The sequence below is a fragment of the Homo sapiens genome, chromosome 17 (genome assembly GCF_000001405.40).
Source record: "Homo sapiens chromosome 17, GRCh38.p14 Primary Assembly".
Classification (NCBI taxonomy): Eukaryota; Metazoa; Chordata; class Mammalia; order Primates; family Hominidae; genus Homo; species Homo sapiens.
In genome coordinates this window covers 83,184,436-83,201,062 of record NC_000017.11, presented here as the reverse complement: position 1 = coordinate 83,201,062, position 16,627 = coordinate 83,184,436, and the positions used below count along the sequence as shown (strand labels likewise).

The 16,627-nt window shown below is 55.4% G+C and overlaps 2 long non-coding RNA genes across 2 annotated transcripts in view; both read right to left on the bottom strand.

The window, feature by feature from the left end:
• Positions 1-16,627, bottom strand: part of LOC101929650 (uncharacterized) — a 71,977-nt gene that overhangs the window by 14,352 nt on the left and 40,998 nt on the right. The gene's annotated exons all lie outside the window — the stretch shown is intronic.
• LOC105371948 (uncharacterized) lies at positions 1,077-7,500 on the bottom strand. The gene is made up of 3 exons (XR_933965.3): positions 7,076-7,500; positions 5,840-5,937; positions 1,077-1,260 (listed from the first exon to the last, which is right to left on the bottom strand). It is a non-coding gene; the product is annotated as an uncharacterized LOC105371948 (long non-coding RNA).

Genomic DNA, 16,627 nt, shown 5'->3' with positions numbered 1-16,627 from the left:
TGCTCCCCCGGAGCTCCCCAACCAGCCAGGAGAGGCCACTGGCAGGGAAGAAGGTCCAGCCCAGCACAGACTCCCCAGGGAGGGCCCCAGCCCAGTGGAAGGACCATGGAAACCATGTCAGTCTCCCTCAGCGGCTGCCCTGGGTTGACATGTCCCCTTAGGGATCTCAGGCTCTCAACCCTCTAGTCAATTCTGAGCTGAGTTTTTCTGGAGCTTTATATTCAACTCTGACTTTGCTTCCCTTCACCTCTACTCCCCACCCTAGAAATAGAAACCTGAGGTCAGGAAGTGCTGAGGGTCCTTGGGTTTGGTGTCGGGGAAGACACCGTGCTGACTCGAACCCACTAGGCCTGGAGCCCAAAAGTCCCTTCTCTGTGACCTGCGACAAGCCTCTACAGCCACGTCTCCTTCCCTGTGGTAACCGAGTGACACCAATTGGCTCCCAGCCACCGCTGGGCCTCAGGCAGTTGCAGTGGCTTCGGCACTGGCTTTGCTGAGCCAGTGACAGCGACGGCACCTCCTGGATGTGAAATGTGCCAACACCCTGGCCTCGGGGACCGTACGGCGTGGTGTGAAATTTCTGTTTTAACGCTCCATGACCACATAGGTCTTGGCTTTTTATGAGTAAAGCAGAGACCGTGTTGTACCCAAGCTCTCTGGGTGGCACCCACAGCTTCCTCAGCGGGGTAACGGTGACGGGTGGACAACTGGCCCACAGGCAAACTGCACGTCCCCCACGGCGAGCATCTCTGAGCTGCACTGACCAGTTCAGGCCCATGCGTCACCGGCATTTTTCTGAGCCAGCTCCTCTGGTTCATGAGAAGGTCTGAATTCAAGAAATGAACGCCCAGCAATTAGCAATGTCCACAGAATCAAAGGAGCATGGTTTTAGTTGTCCTCCCAGGCAGCTTTGCCAGTCCGGGTATGAGGTAAAGCCAGAGGGACCCTGCCTCACCCACGCGCCCCAAGAGGGGTCCAAGGACCACCGACTGTCCCCACTTCCCTGGAACTGAGGATGAGGCTGATTCATGTGTTTCCTGTGACGGCCACGACATCATCATATCCGCTCGGAGAACTATTTTTAACTGATTTATGTATTTCTTGTATGAGGAAGACACCAACTTCTCCTTTAGTCAGTTTTACAGGAAAGTACTGCAGCTGTGCTCAGCTCAGCAATATTAATCGCCACAGAGCACCCTCCGAAGTCTTGCAAAAATTAATAAAGTTGGAAATATGAGTCAGGTTTGGATGCCACTCATTCTGAAAAAGAAGAAACTCAATAATAGTTACCTTCTCCTGTAGAATCAACGAGCCCAGTTTGCGAAAGAGCACCCTGTGTCTTTAAATTTCCGTGGCGTGCCCACAGAGGAAGGTGTTCCGACCTCTGCTGCCGCTGCAGCTCCGGGGCACTGACCACACAGAGCTGGTTTCTGCACTTGCATCGCTTGCCCGAGAGCTAGTCACCGCGGGCGTGGGCGAGGCTGCCAGGGGCCACCTGCCTGCCAGAGCCAGGGTGCCTATCTTTAAGGCCAGGGGCTCCTGAGGACACAGACACTTCCCTCCTCTTTCAGACAAGGACAAGCTCAGGGACATGGGTGGTTTGGGCTCAGGCTGACCGGGAAAGACACGTAGAAAGTTTGGTGTGCGCTCTGGGTTGTGGGGGCCCGGCGGGAGGGTGGGCTTCAGGATCCCGTCCCAGGACGCGTTCATTCAGCGGCACTCACACCCCCAGCACCTGCTCCCGGCGGGTGCCGAGGCTTCTTTCACTCTTCTTAGCATCTCCCCATCACTCACTTGACTCCAACCAACAGCCACTTATGTACCAGCTACGCGCCAGGTTGCTGAACAGCTCTGAGCAATTAAAGGGCAGCCAGGAGCAGCTGGGAGAGGAGGGGCTGGAGGAGGAAGAGGGGTCCAGGACCCAGGGGCTCACGGGGCATCCCGAAGTCTTTGTGGAGACCTAGGGTTGGGGCTGCAGCAGGGGGTCGGGGGGCAGCCAGAGATCCCGGTAGACCCGGGAGGGGCCTGATCAAGGAGAAGGAGGGGCCACAGAGCCAGGGTCAGGACAGACTGTGAGGGGGCCTCTTGTTGGGACAGCGTCCCCTCGGAGCAAGAGCCCGGGGCGTGTGGCCGCCTCACTGTGACCTCCGGCCGTGCAGGCCTCTGGGGAGGGTGGAGATGTTTTCCCCTTCTCAGAGCACGCAGGTGTTACCTGCCCACAGAGTAGGAAGTGGGGTGCTGTCACCTGCACCGCACAGGTGAGGAAGCTGAAAACCCAAGACCCAAGCCATTTGGTCTCACTCTGGCTGAATCACCTGGAGGCTTTGGGAAACAGATTTTCTTCCCCCTTCCAGCCTTACCGCCACCCTCCTCTCTTCTAGAAGAGGCAAGAAGAAGCGGGGGTGGGGGTGCAGGCCGAATTGCCTGGAGGTTAGGGGGACCCTCAGCACCTGAGTCAGGGCTCTGTGAGACCCCCTGGTTCTTCGCTCACTGTGGGCTGAGACGCAAGCTGAGTCGTCCACAGGAAGATACCCTCTTACTCTGAACAACCACTCTTTCAAAGAGGACACTGAGGCTCAGAGAGGCTCCCCAAAGCAATGGCCAGCCACCATGGGCAGGACGTGGACTCCGGCCCAGGAAGCCTGGCTCCAGAATCATGCTCCAGGCCTCTAAGCTGTAATTTGTGTCCTCCAGGGCTCACAATATCTAAGATTTAATGTGGAAAAATGGTGCTATTCTGTCTCACCCCATGCCCCAAAATGAACTTAAAGGCAAAAAAAAAAAAAAAAAAAAAGAATAATTATAAAGTTTGGAAGAAAATACAAGAGCATTTTGGTATAAAAATGCAAAATCCAAAGCCTTAAAGGAAACCATTTGACTACTTAAAATTTAAAAACTTTTATGTGATGAAAAGAACAACCTTAAAAAGGTAAAATAATAAGCAGCAGACTGGGAACGAATATCTGCAATGTAAACACAAAGTACTGATATTCATCATATATAAAGAACTCCCACAAATCAACAAGAAAAAAGCAAATGACTAGCTAGAAAAGTGGTAAAGGGTAAAAACAGAAACATAGTCAAATAAACTAATGAATATCACAAAATATCCAACCTCCCTATTAATCATAGAAATAAGAAATTGAAAAATATTTTATGACTAAATCTAGTGTTGCTCCAGTGAGGAAGGGATCCACTGACATGCCGTATGCAGGGGTGTGAATGGGAACAGGCTTTTGAGAGGTGATTTGGAGTCTCTATCACAAGTTTAAATGCACCTGCCCTGAGACGCCCATCCCTGGGAAGAGATGTCCGTGCAGATGTCTAAGGCACACGTCTGGAAACGGTGAAGACCTGAGAAGAACAATCCTTAAGGGTCCCAGCCCCTGAGTGTTCACCTTCCAGGGAAACCAGTCCTCATGGAGAACTCAGAGCCCTGGTGGGGTGGTTGCTGTGGTCTAGGGCCTTTGTCAAGGTTCATCCCAGGCTGGGCTTTTGGAGGGCAGGGAGGCCGCTAGTATCTGGGTGGCTGCCTGAGCCTGCAGATCCCACACCCAGCTGCCCCGAGGAGCTACTGTCCACCTGGTGGAGACTCAGGCTGGGCCCAACTCAGAACTAGGAGCAAGGGAGTGAAGCAGGGATGGGGTCCTGCAGAGGGGCGGTAGGGTCTGGCCCTCCTGGTCTGGGGGCCTCCCCGGGCGGGACAGTCCCTGTGTCCCACCCCAACCGCCTGCTGCTTTTTCTGGACCACCCCCCACCCCGTCCCCCGTTCCCCTCCAGGCTGGGCTTCCCACTGTCTTCCCACTGACTCAGCATCCGTCCTTCCCGTGGGGGCAGCAGCATCACTGCCTTCTCACGTGGAATCCCAGGGAGCTGCAGCCTCCACCCTGCCTTCTGGAGAGTTCTGTCTCTAATTTTATACGCCCTATCAGCCTGTTATTCGATCCAGATGCCTGTGAAATTTGCAGCGGGATCGTTCTGTGACGGGCGGTGGGCAGCCCAGGCAGGGCTGCCGTTTCGTGCATCAGCCCAGAGGTCTGAGAAGGGTGTGGCTCCTTCCCTGGGAAACAACATGGGACTAGTTCCAGAGCCAACACCCATCACTTTGCAACCCCCTGGGTAAGTGTGCGTGGGGGGGGGGGGGTGCTGAGCTGCAGCGGGGGGCAGAGGGCTCAGGCTGGACCACCCCTGCACCTTCCACAGTGAGGCCATCCCCTCCTGAGCCTCTGGCTCCTGGCCTATCCTCGCTCCCTCACCCAAGCCCCATGAGGATTCAGTAGCTTGAGAAGGACCCTCTGCTCACCAGAGGTCACAGTGACTGTGAGAACACCCTCCTGTCCTCTTCCCCCCATTCCTTCCTGGACCTTGGGACACTTCTGGGAGGCAGCGCCCTCTCCCAACAGAGTCTTCTCCACAGGGCAGCCACGGGGACTTTGAGGATACCAGGTCCTCACCCAGGCCCCCGTCTCAGAGTCAAAGCCGTAACTCCCATAGCACAGTGGCCTTCGAGATGCCCTCTTGTCACCCGCCAAGGGGTGCCGGCACTGAGTGCGAGGATTTGACTTCCCACAAGAGGAAAGCAGGTTCTTTCCCAGGGGCCATGCCAGGCCCCAGCACCTCTGCTGACCTGGCTCAGTGCGTCGGGGAAAAGGGGTGCCCAGCCTCCTCTGTGTCTCCAAGTCAGGGGCATCCCAAGGCACCTCACTTGGGTGCTCTCAGAAAAGACAGCCCTGAATCTCAGAGCCACCAAAGGCAGGCAGGATTCGAGCCTGGCCTCAAGCATGACTCTGGAACGTAAAGAGGAAAAGACGATTTAGGTTAACGTGGGACACAGCCGGTTTCCCGCCCAAACCAAGGTCCAGGGGGACTTCTCATCCCCAGCAGGGGGTGTGTCTACAAAGAACAACCACAAACTGGGGTCATTTCCAAAAGAAACACTCCCGGCTTCCTCCAGGGGCAGAGACCGAGGGGTCTGGGGGAGGAGGCTGGGGTGGGCAGAGGCCCGAGGTAGGGAGGTCCAGGGGCACATCCCAGGTCTGGCAGCATGGGCCGGGCCCTGCTGGGAGGGGGCTGAGGACCCCAGAGCCTAGGCCTGTCCTAAGCCTGTCCTTAGCCGGAGAGCCTCGGCCCTGTGCTGGCAGCAGGGTCTTCACTCCTTGCCAGCTCCACATAGGCAGTCAGGCTCAGGCCAGCCCCCAGCCAACAGCGGCTCCCAACACGCCCTGCCCTGTGGGAGATGCCAAGCTGGCATCCCTCTCGGGCCAGGCCAGGCCTCCTGGTGGTGTGGCCAGCGCTGGCACACAGTCCTGAATTCCTTCAAAGAACAACAAACTGAAAATCCAGCTGAGTTCAAATTTGCCCAAATTCCCACTTGAAGTTTCCCTGTCCCAGAGGGTGGTACCCGCCCCACCCCGGTGGGATGTGGTGAAGGCAGTGGCTCCTCCCGGCCATGAGGCATAAACAAATACCGCCTGGGCCACAGGGGCTTGGCCGGAGCCCTTGACTCAGCCCCACCCAGGCCCCCTCCTGCACCTCGACCGGCTCCTGGGGCTCCATGACCCACAAGCCAGCAAGTTTCTCAGCTGCCCTGACACAGCCTAAGACGGGTCTCAAGTCCCTGTCGTGCCCGTCCCAGGAAACCGGTCTTCACCTAGTCAGTCCCAGAGACCTTGCTCCTCACGCCCAAGGTGAGCAGCCCCGTGTGATTCTCAATCTTTCAGGGTTGACCCTGACCTAACCCACATCTCCACCTCAAGTCTCCCACTCCAGTCTGAGAAACCCTCCCCGCTCCAGCCCCTAAGCCCAGCCCAGCCCAGCCCCGCAGGGCCTCCTGACTCACCCAGATCTGTCCCCACAAGAGGCCTCCTCACTCCTCAGTGGGAGACTCCGTGGCGTGCAGGCTCCAGGGGCTCTGTGGTCCCGGAAGCGAAGGTGGGGCTGGAGGAGGAAGCGAAGCGGATGTCACCTTCCTTGAGGGATTCTGGAGCCGCTTCAGTGGACATCTTTGCCCTCTGACCTGAGCCTCTGATTGGGTCATGGGTGGCCAGCAGCACAGCTGAGCCTGTGTCCTGTGCAGCCCCAGCCCCTCCAGCGGGATCACTGGCCCGTTGGGGATGACAGAGAGACACTCCCCGTCCTCTGGAGCAGGGGTCCCCAGGCTGTGGTCTGTTAGGAACCGGCCGCGCGGCAGGAGGTGAGCGGTGGACCGGCCTGACCCTGAGCTCCGCCTCCTCTCGGATCAGCGGCGGCATTCACTTCTCACAGGAGCGTGACCCCTATTGTGAACTGCACGCAAGGGATCTAGGTTGTCCGCTCCTTATGAGAATCTAATGCCTGATGATCTGAGAGGGAAACCATCCCTTCTTCTCTCCAACACCCACAGAATAAGTGTCTTCCACAAAACCTGTCCCTGGTGTCAAAAGGGTTGGGGACCACTGCTCTGGTGGGAAGGTGCCAGGCCCCTCAGCCCCTTCCAGGAGACTGAGAAAGGGTTCAGGAAACCTGGGGGGCCGGCTGGTTCACCACCCTCCCCCCACCCTTGGCTCACCCAAGTCAGGGGCTCCACCCCAGCAGGCAGAGCTGACAACTCACAGGGGTGTCTGGGGAGGGCAATGTCCACTGCCATCTGCCAGGTCACGGGGGGATGCTGGAGGTCTGCTCTACCTCAGTTCCCCTGGCGTGGGTGCCTGGGGCTTCAGATTCACCCTTGTGTGGAGGTGGGGAGGCAGGATTGGGGAGGACCCTGAGTCTCCCAGGCAGGCAGCCTGGCACCGGGTGGGGGACTGTGATCCAGCAAACCTGCTCATTCTTGTGGGCGGCTAACGGCTTTTATTTCAGGACACCCACATGTGTTAAAACAGGAAATAAAGTATACGAGAAACAGCACCCCCACACACTCCCGGGTAAGGAGGCTTTTCCTCAGTCCTCCACTCACACCCACACAGCCCCAGGAGGGACCCCTAGGCACAGCCCACACCTCCACATCCCATCCAACCCCCACGTTCCTGGGCTGCTCTTTCTCTGAAGCATTTTAACACACAGGCGTGAGTGCACATACACACACACGTTTACCAACCATGCTTGGTCCCTGTAGCGTCTCCTTCCACCTGGGGCAGGTGACATAAGGGGTCAGGTGCCCGCTGACTCAGGACTTGTGGTTCCTGGAACTCTCAAACTGTGGCTGCATGAGTCCCACCCTGAGGGCTGATGGGGTGGACCCACAGAGTGCTGGACCTGCCCCAAACCTCAGAGCATGTCGGGCTGAATGTCCAGACACCGAGGAGCTTCGGGCAAGGTCAGGGGCCAGGCATCGTGACAGTGTCCCCAGGCAGCTGACCAGGAGAGGACAAGGCAGCTGAGAGGGCCAGGGGAGGGGGTGTGGGAATGCAGGGCTAGTGTCAGCAGGCCCAGCTGGGTGTGTGTCTCCTGGGAATCTGCTACAGGGGCCCTAGCACTGCGCTGTGCTCCCCGGGGGACCCCCACCCACCCAGGCCAGGGCCAGGGTGGTGGCTCCGTGTAGTGGCCAGTGCTGTTCAGGGTCTGGGGGCTGGTACAGGGGAGGAGCTGGGACAGGGGAGGGGCTTTGTACAGGGGAGGAGCTGGTACAGGGGAGGGGCTGGCACAGGGGAGGAGCTGGTACAGGGGAGGAGCTGGTACAGGGGAGGAGCTGGGACAGGGGAGGGGCTTTGCACAGGGGAGGGGCTGGTACAGGGGAGGGGCTGGCACAGGGGAGGAGCTGGTACAGGGGAGGAGCTGGGACAGGGGAGGGGCTTTGCACAGGGGAGGAGCTGGTACAGGGGAGGAGCTGGGACAGGGGAGGGGCTTTGCACAGGGGAGGAGCTGGTACAGGGGAGGGGCTGGTACAGGGGAGGAGCTGGTACTGGGGAGGGGCTTGGTACAGGGGAGGGGCTGGTACGGGGAGGGGCTTTGCACAGGGGAGGAGCTGGTACAGGGGAGGGGCTGGTACAGGGGAGGGGCTGGTACAGGGGAGGAGCTGGTACAGGGGAGGAGCTGGTACAGGGGAGGAGCTGGTACAGGGGAGGGGCTTTGCACAGGGGAGGAGGTGGTACAGGGGAGGGGCTGGTACAGGGGAGGGGCTGGTACAGGGGAGGAGCTGGTACAGGGGAGGAGCTGGTACAGGGGAGGGGCTTGGTACAGGGGAGGGGCTGGTACAGGGGAGGGGCTGGTACAGGGGAGGAGCTGGTACAGGGGAGGGGCCGGCACAGGGGAGGAGCTGGCACAGGGGAGGGGCTGGTACAGGGGAGGAGCTGGTACAGGGGAGGGGCTTGGTACAGGGGAGGGGCTGGCACAGGGGAGGAGCTGGTACAGGGGAGGGGCTGGCACAGGGGAGGGTCAGTTCTGAGTGATTCTGACCAGGACTTGCGTGTGGAGGGTTTGACCCCCCCAGGTTAGGACCCCAAGTTTTGCCCACGGGTCCCCCACCCCATATGCACATGGGCTGAGGTCGGAGGGCTGCCTGCCCAACGGCCTGCAATGGCTAGTGGGGTCTGTTCCACTCTTGAGCCAAGTGCTGAGGATCTGCCTAGTGGGAGAGCCTGGTGGGGAACATCCTGTCTCTGGTAAATCCACTCGGGGCTGGGTGTGACTGTATAATCGAGGTTGGTCATGAATGTTTGGAGGTTTATGTCACTGTGCTCCGTGGTTGGTCACGAATGTTCGGAGGGTTATGTCACTGTGGCTCCGTGGAACTGGCACCAAGCTCATCTCGCCTCCTCTTCTGTTGAAGAAATGATGCCCCTTTCTGGGGTCACGTTCTTAGAGTGGGCAGGGGTGGCTGCCCCTCTGACCAAAGCTCCCGTAAGCCTGGAACCTGTCCCAGAGGAGGCCTGGTCTCTCCCTGGTGCTGCAAAGTGCCAGTGTGGGGCAGGCTGGGGTCCCCCTGGCCCTGGGGGAGAGGGGGCTCCTTCTTGGCCTGGGTCCCTTGGGGTCAGAAGAGGTGGCCCCTGCCTCTACTGAGGGACTCCCCATCAGTACCCCCTAACCTGGTCAGAGGGAGCGTACTTAGGTCTCCTGTTCCACTTTCCAATTTGAACACCTATAAACCCTTTGGCCTCAGCCTCTTTCCACCAAGAGCCAGCAACAGCTGTCCTCAGGGCCTGCCTTTGGTCAGGCCACCCTGAACAAACTTCACTCAGCCACTAATGGCCTGCCGTGGCTGTGGGATTCCGCTCCTGGCCAGGACCTTGGACGGAAGCCACTGCCAACCACCCAGGTCACACTCACCACCCACCTGGCCACGCAGGATTGCCCCCTCCTCTCAGAGCCCTCGGGGCAGCCCCAGCCGGGCGTCTAGCATTTGATGATGTCCCTGACCCCATGTCCCCACCAAGCCTCCCTCTGAGGGTCCCTAAGAGAAAGCATGCTTTACGGAGACCTTGTCAAGGAGGGCTGGAGTCAGGAGGAAAGGCCTTCCCCTCAAACCAGAAACTCACCCTAGAGCCTGAAGGGCCTTAAAAACAAACAAGAAAAATGACTTTAGTTTTGCTTTGCGTTCCACAAAGAGGCAGTTATGGCACCAGAAAAGTGAAGATGTCTCTCTCCCAGAATTAAGGTTGACTCTGAAGTTTATTACATCCTAAAGGTGTCACTAAAGCCACATGGCCATTTTGCAATCCATCCAAATGATCCCCTCACCCACGGGTACCTTCAGAAGGTCCTCACACCAGGTGCCACCGTGTGGGTCTGTGGCCTCCACACCCTCTTCCCTCACACCAGATGCCACCGTGTGGGTCTGTGGCCTCCACACCCTCTTCCCCTCACACCAGGTGCCACCGTGTGGGTCTGTGGCCTCCACACCCTCTTCCCCTCACACCAGGTACCACCGTGTGGGTCTGTGGCCCCCACACCCTCTTTCCCTCACACCAGGTACCACCGTGTGGGTCTGTGGCCTCCACACCCTCTTCCCCTCACACCAGGTGCCACTGTGTCAGTCTATGGCCTGCAAACCAAGGCCCTCACAAACCAAGGGACCCACGTGGAGAGGGTCACTGTGCACGTGATATGGCCCCTCTTTGGAAGGGCTGTAGTCACCGTGAGGGGCTAAGGTTTGCTCTTGGGGCTCTGATTTTTATTTAACTGTGCACTGGGCACCGTTTTAGGGCTTAAGACACTTCCACAAGAAACAGGCTCCTGCCCTGAAGGGCGCCTCCGGTTGGGGGGCCGACGGCGATGCCATCTGCTGTAAAGAACCCTTTATGGTGGGGCGTGGGTGACGAGGCTGAGCCCAGCACTGGATGGGAGCAGCTGAGCCAGGAAGTGGCACTCAGCAGGAACTGGGGGGCTTGGTGGGAAGGGGACAGGCAGGAGGCCAGGAAAGAGCATTCCAGGTTCGAAGCCCTAGTGAGGGTGGAGCCCACCGGGAGAGGAGCAGCACGGAGGCGGTGTCAGGGGAGGCTGGTGGGAGGGAGGCACAGGGTCCAGAAGGTCCCTTGCGACCAGAAGGGGCACCCCCAAACTCCTGAGATCCATGTGTCCACCATCCCAAGGGAAACAGGCCTCCAAGCTGGCCTCAGCTTGATTGAAAAAACAAAGCAAATGAAATAAAACAAAACACTACGTGTCTCGCCCACTGGAGAGATGGAATGAGACTCATGGTGGGTGGAAGAGTTTGCTTTCAGTTGTGCTTTGGGAAGTCAGGAGAGAAAGGAGACAGCCCCACCCCAGAGGCTCATGGAAGGCCAGGTGGACAGAAGGACAAAGGAAGGCACAGGGCACCTGGCCCCAAGAGGTTTGGGTTTATCAAGATAACAGACGTCTACACAGCTCGCCCCAGGACATGGCGGAGGGAACAGAGCTATCCCCTCAAATGCCTGTGTTCCTTGGTTGTCATGACTTAACTCCACGGAGAGCTGAACCATACAGACTGATCAGAAGCTGGGCCCCAGCGACGTGGCCAGGGCCGAGGCTCAGCCTGTCGGTGTGAAGTGTTCATCACCAGCACTTTACAGACCGTGCAATGGCAGCTTTCACGGGCGGTGAGCACAGCAATCCCGACCTTATTTTCCACAAGCACCAACAGATGTTTAAAACTGGGGAGAAATTTCAAGGACTGGAACATTTCTCAGGCAGGGCCCCTGGAGCAGCTCCAGGGAGCTGCACGCCCGTGGCCTGGTGGTGTTGTCCTAAGTGCGCCCTTCACACATCAGGAATGTCAAACAGAGCTGACCTCAGCACCGCCGAGAGCCCCACTCCAAACACAGCCGTCTCCAGCAGCAGGCAGGCTCCGGGGTGTTTGTCTAATTTAAAACAAACTAGTTGGGCGGTATATTATTTCTCCAACCAAACAGGATTGAAAGCCGCATGTGCGAGGCATGACTATTGCTTCCTGCTGAAGTCCAGGCATCCCTCAAGCCTGCTCAGCACATTTAGCAAAAAGGAGATGATTGTTTCCCATCTCACTGAGAAAATAGAAGCAATCAGAAAAGAATGTCCACGTGCTCCGACCACACCATCTTCCCACCCAACTGTGCCTGGCCAGCCAGACCCACCGCCGTCCCCCACTCCAGGCTGGCCAGGAGCTCTGGTTGCCCCCTCAGTGGGGCCACCCTCAACAACAGTCATGCTGTCCCCTCTCCTGCCGGCCAGGGCCCCCCAGCTGCTGGCTGTCTCTCTGCTCTTTTTCAAGATGCCCCTCTAAGAACACAGTCTTCCTTCTCCACTTCCTCTCTTCCTGGTCTTTCCTGAGTCCTCGCTAAGCTAGATTTTACCTCCCCTATTCCACTAAACGTGCTTTTGCCGATGTTACCGGCAAAGGCTAACCCTGGCATCAGTTCTCAGCCCTCATCTTGGCTGATCGACAACACCCAACAGGAGCAGTAGAAAGCGTGTTCTTCCTGCGACTTCCGGAATGCCCGTCTCCTGCTCTTTTGATGTTCATGCCTGTATTTGCTTCCTATTGCTGCTACGGCCGATGACCACAGACTTAGTGGCTTAAAGCAACACACACTTATCATCTTATGGTTTTGGAAATCAGAAGTCCCACATGGGTTTCACTGGACTAAACCAAGGCGTCAGCAAGAGTCTCTTCTTTCTGGAGGCTCTGGGGAGAATTCACTTCCGTGCCTCTTCCAGCTTCTAGAGGTTACCTATCTTCCATGCCTCTGGGTTCCTCCCTCCACCTCTAAAGCAAACTCATCACTCTGACTTTTGCTTCCGTAGTTACATCTTCTCTGATGCTAACAGTGTTGCTTCCTTCTTGTGAGGACTTTCATGATTGCACTGGCCACCTGGTTAATCCAGGATAATCCCCCACCTCAAGACCCTTAATTTAATCACACCTGCAAACTCCCTCTTGACATATAAGGTAGTGGGGAGTGAGATGTGGACATCTTTGGGGGCCATTATCCTGCTGACTACAGTTGGCCCCTGGCTTCCAAAGACTCACAAGGATGCCACTCCACCCCAGCATCTGTGAACATCTACCTCATTACAGCATTAAGTCAAAGTCCAGAAATCTCATCTAAATTTACTTAGTTCAAGTGTCCCAAATTTCATAATGTAAATTAGGGTTGGGTTAGGGTATAATCCATCCAGATGCATAATTCTGCTCCACCTGTAAACCTGCAAAACTCAAGAAACAAATGATCTGCTGTCAGACCCAACATTAGGACAGGCATCAGTTGACAGTTATAGACATTCTCATTCAAAAAGGGAGAAAATGGAAGGAAAAAAGGAGTCCTCAGTCCCAAGCACTTTGAAAAACCAGCTAAGCAAACATTAGATTTCAAGGCCTGAGAAAATAATCCTCTGTGGGTCCCAGGTCCAACATCTGGGCTCATGGCTCCACCCTTGGAGTCATCCTTCCTTTTTCATGAAAGGTAGCACATGTTTGCCACTGAGTGGTTTTATCAGCCTGCTTCCTTCCTGCAGAATTTTGGAGAGTCCAACAGTGCTCTTTCATCTTTCATTTCATACTTTCTCTGTTCCCTTCAGTCCAAGTTGGCAGTGTTTCTGCTGATATAACATTCTCAAGAACTTTGTGGTCTCCTGTGTATGTCACACACAGGATTCACTCTATTTCACAAGAAGGTCCTCCCTAGGCCTTTCACATAGTCCTATCTCTGTCTTCTGCTGAGATGACTGAGGGGCTCCTGAGTCATTCATCTGAAGTCTTCAAAGGCTCCTCTGTGTGACTGAACACACTGACTTTTGATAGTCTCAAGGGACTGGTAGAATGTTGTCCAGCCACTGTGTTGGCTTTCTTTTCAGAGCACAGATTCATGGCACATATGCACACATACATACTGCACACACATACATACTATATACAATACAGTGGGTATACATATAGACACACTACAGCACATGCACACACACACACATTCTGCACACAATACTGCATGCATGCACATACGGCACAGCACATACATGCACACATGCTGCAGCACACACAATACTGCACACAGAGCATACAATCCTGCAAGTACACCATACACAGTATGCACACATACCACATAAACCTTATGGATACCCTGTGTATACACCAGATATGTTAAACATGCCTTGTGCACACACAGAATGCATGCAAACATATGTGCTCTGTACTCATAGAGAAACACATCCACACACACACCATACAACATGTGCACACCCACAGGAGTGATAGAGAAGCTATAATATAAACATGCAACTGTGCTCTAAGATCTTGCCTGATCATATCAGAGAAGCTACCAAGGCAGGGTTGAGAAGTGGGAGCAATGACAGGAAAGCAGACAGCAGAAATTGAAGGACCCAAAGCCAGACACAACCAGGACCAGGTGCTCCCCAGCAGTCTGGAGCATGAGCAGCATGGTGCCCAAGGTCTGGACATGGCTGTGTGGCCACATCTCACTGTATCGCCCCAGCAATGACCACATGTCCCCCACCAAGGAGGACACTTGTCCTGGGGCTGGGATGGTGACTCTGCTGAGCCCAGGGAACAGGAGCAGGCAAATTGGGGTGGGGGGTGGGGGGGTCCCAGGGTTCCTGCAGGCACTACCTCAAAGGTTACAGGAAGAGGGAGAACCAGACCAGAGAGGCCCTGCTGCACCCTTCAGGAGCAGATTGCCAGGAACATCAGGGATTCACCTGGCCCTGAGCTCAAGTCGCAGCACCTTGTGACTTCAAGCAGACTTTGTAACCCTTAAGTCTCAGCATCTTCATCCATTAAAGGGAGTTGGGGAGGCCCACCCCAGAGAGCTGCTGTGAGGACAAAATGAGGGTCTGGAAGAGTAGGCCACTGACAGATGCCCCTTCTCTTCACCCGTGTATGGTGTACTTGCAGGATTGTATGCTCTGTGTGCAGTATTGTGTGTGCTGCAGCATGTGTGCATGTATGTGCTGTGCCGTATGTGCATGCATGCAGTATTGTGTGCAGAATGTGTGTGTGTGTGCATGTGCTGTAGTGTGTCTATATGTATACCCACTGTATTGTATATAGTATGTATGTGTGTGCAGTATGTATGTGTGCATATGTGCATGAATCTGTCCCCAAACTACTCTCCTTTTTCTTCTATGGGAAAGGAACAGGAACAATGGACCAGTCATACAGCATCTCAGGGGCCCTAGCCCCCTGCTTGTTCCTCTGGGCTCTCCAGCCCAGCAAGGCCCCAGTCCTCCCTGTTGTGGGTCCCTCACGAGCTGCCAGAGGGGGCGTGGCCCCTCACGAGCTGCCAGAGGGGGCGTGGTCCCACAGCACTCTAGCCTCTGCCTCTGTGGACACATGGCCTCCTCCTCTTCTGTCTTCTAAGAATACTTATCAGTGGACTAGAGCCCACCCAGATAGACAAGAATGGTCTCCCCAACTCAATACCCTTCACTTAATTAAATCTGCAAAGACCCCTTTTCCAAATAAGGTCACAGTCCCAGGTTCTGGGAATTAGGATGTGGACATATATCTTTGAGGGTTACCCTCAGCCCACTACAGATGTTGTGTTAGGTGTTCCATATGGAAGCGTCCAGCACAAAGCAAAGATGCAAGAAGACGGCTGCAGGTGTTGCAACAGATGTGGTGGGGTTGTTTCCAGAACCTGCAAGCTCCACAGAGCAGGGACCTTCTCACCTGTGCCACCACCAAATTCCTAGCTAATTAGACTGGGGTGGCCAGAAGGATGCTTCTTGGGTCTCAGGGAGTTAAATCTAGCTCCCTTCAACTGGGGTACACAGGCCCCAGCCTTCACCTGGTCCTCTGCTCCCACCCACCTGCCCAGCATCCTCTTGTCAGATAGTGCTAGCCATGGCCCCCTTGAGGCATGGGCTGTGCAAGGTGGGGCCATGGCTGGCACTCAGTATGGGAGCAATGTCAGGTTTGGTGTCCCTGTTCCTCCACCCATCCAGAGGGAAGATGAAGGCCCGGGAAGTGGTGCCTCTCAGTGTCTCTTACAAAGCTGGCTCTTCCCAGACAGTCACCTGTTAATCTTTAGTGCTTCTCAGTGTATAGAGTTGGCTGGAAATGCCCCTCCGCCTCCCACTCATCTTCTACCCTGGCATCAAAGCTGCAGCTCCAGGGACACCGAGGAGAGGCCAGCTGGCCACAGTGTGTCAGGGCAGCCGAGCTGGCCCGCCATGCACTGTGTCCTTTCCACTGCACCACATCATCTCTGCAAAGCCAAGGGCTTCAGGAGCAGAGGGACAGGGCAACTCCTGGTGTTAACTTTGCCTCCATCCTTGAGCCATTCCTGTGGCAGGTGGCATTGTACACTCACAGTCCTTCCTTCCCTCCCAGTCCCAGCACCATGGATTGGAAATGGGACTTGCTGTGACCACTGAAGTGTGGAAGGGGACAGTGGGGGCAGTTCTGAGTACAGGTAAGTATGTGCTTCCACTTGCCCTCCTGCACGCCTGGCCTGGGAAGTGCCCCGGGGGGACCTTCTGCCTCTTCCATCAGGTCTCAAAATGAGAGCCAAGCCACACACCTGAGAGGCACCTGCAGCCTGAAGTAGATGCTGCGGCCACTACACCGACATAGGCATGAGAGACAAACAGCTTCTTCTAAACCACTGGGATTGGTGGGGCCATTTGTTACACAGCATTATTATAGCAATAGCTGACCAATAGAGAATTTGGTGTCAAAAGTAGGTGCTGCCATAATAAAACCTAAAGTATTAATATGTGGCACTGGCTGATAGACTGGGTGGTGAATAAACTACTTTAGAAAGTCGGGGAATGGCAACTTGTGACATGTAATGGTAAAAAAAAAATCACTAACATGGGCTCCTGTAATAACTTAGAAAGCAGGAAACATACCCAATGTAATCCTGGCATTGGGTGAAAAGCTTTCCAAGCAAAATGTCTCTAGAGTGAATAATCATTGCTACTGCATTTGATAAAGTACCTCAAGAAAAAGATAAGCTCAGAAAGGAAAGCCAAGCTTGCAGCAGAATTGAGAGAAAACATAGGGAGCTCAGAAATTCTAGCATTTGCAAGATTAAAAATTTAGGCTTTTTTCAGCCAATAATTAATATATTGAGGAGTATCTTGAGCTAGAAAAGCTTTTTAAGAATTAAAACTTAGCATCAGGGCACCGTGAATTCGAGTGCAGACCCCAGGCCCCACCTCAGGGCTCAGGATGACACCCCCTGATGGCCGCCTGTTCACATCCGAGGCAACTAAGAACAGAGGAGGCGACTCT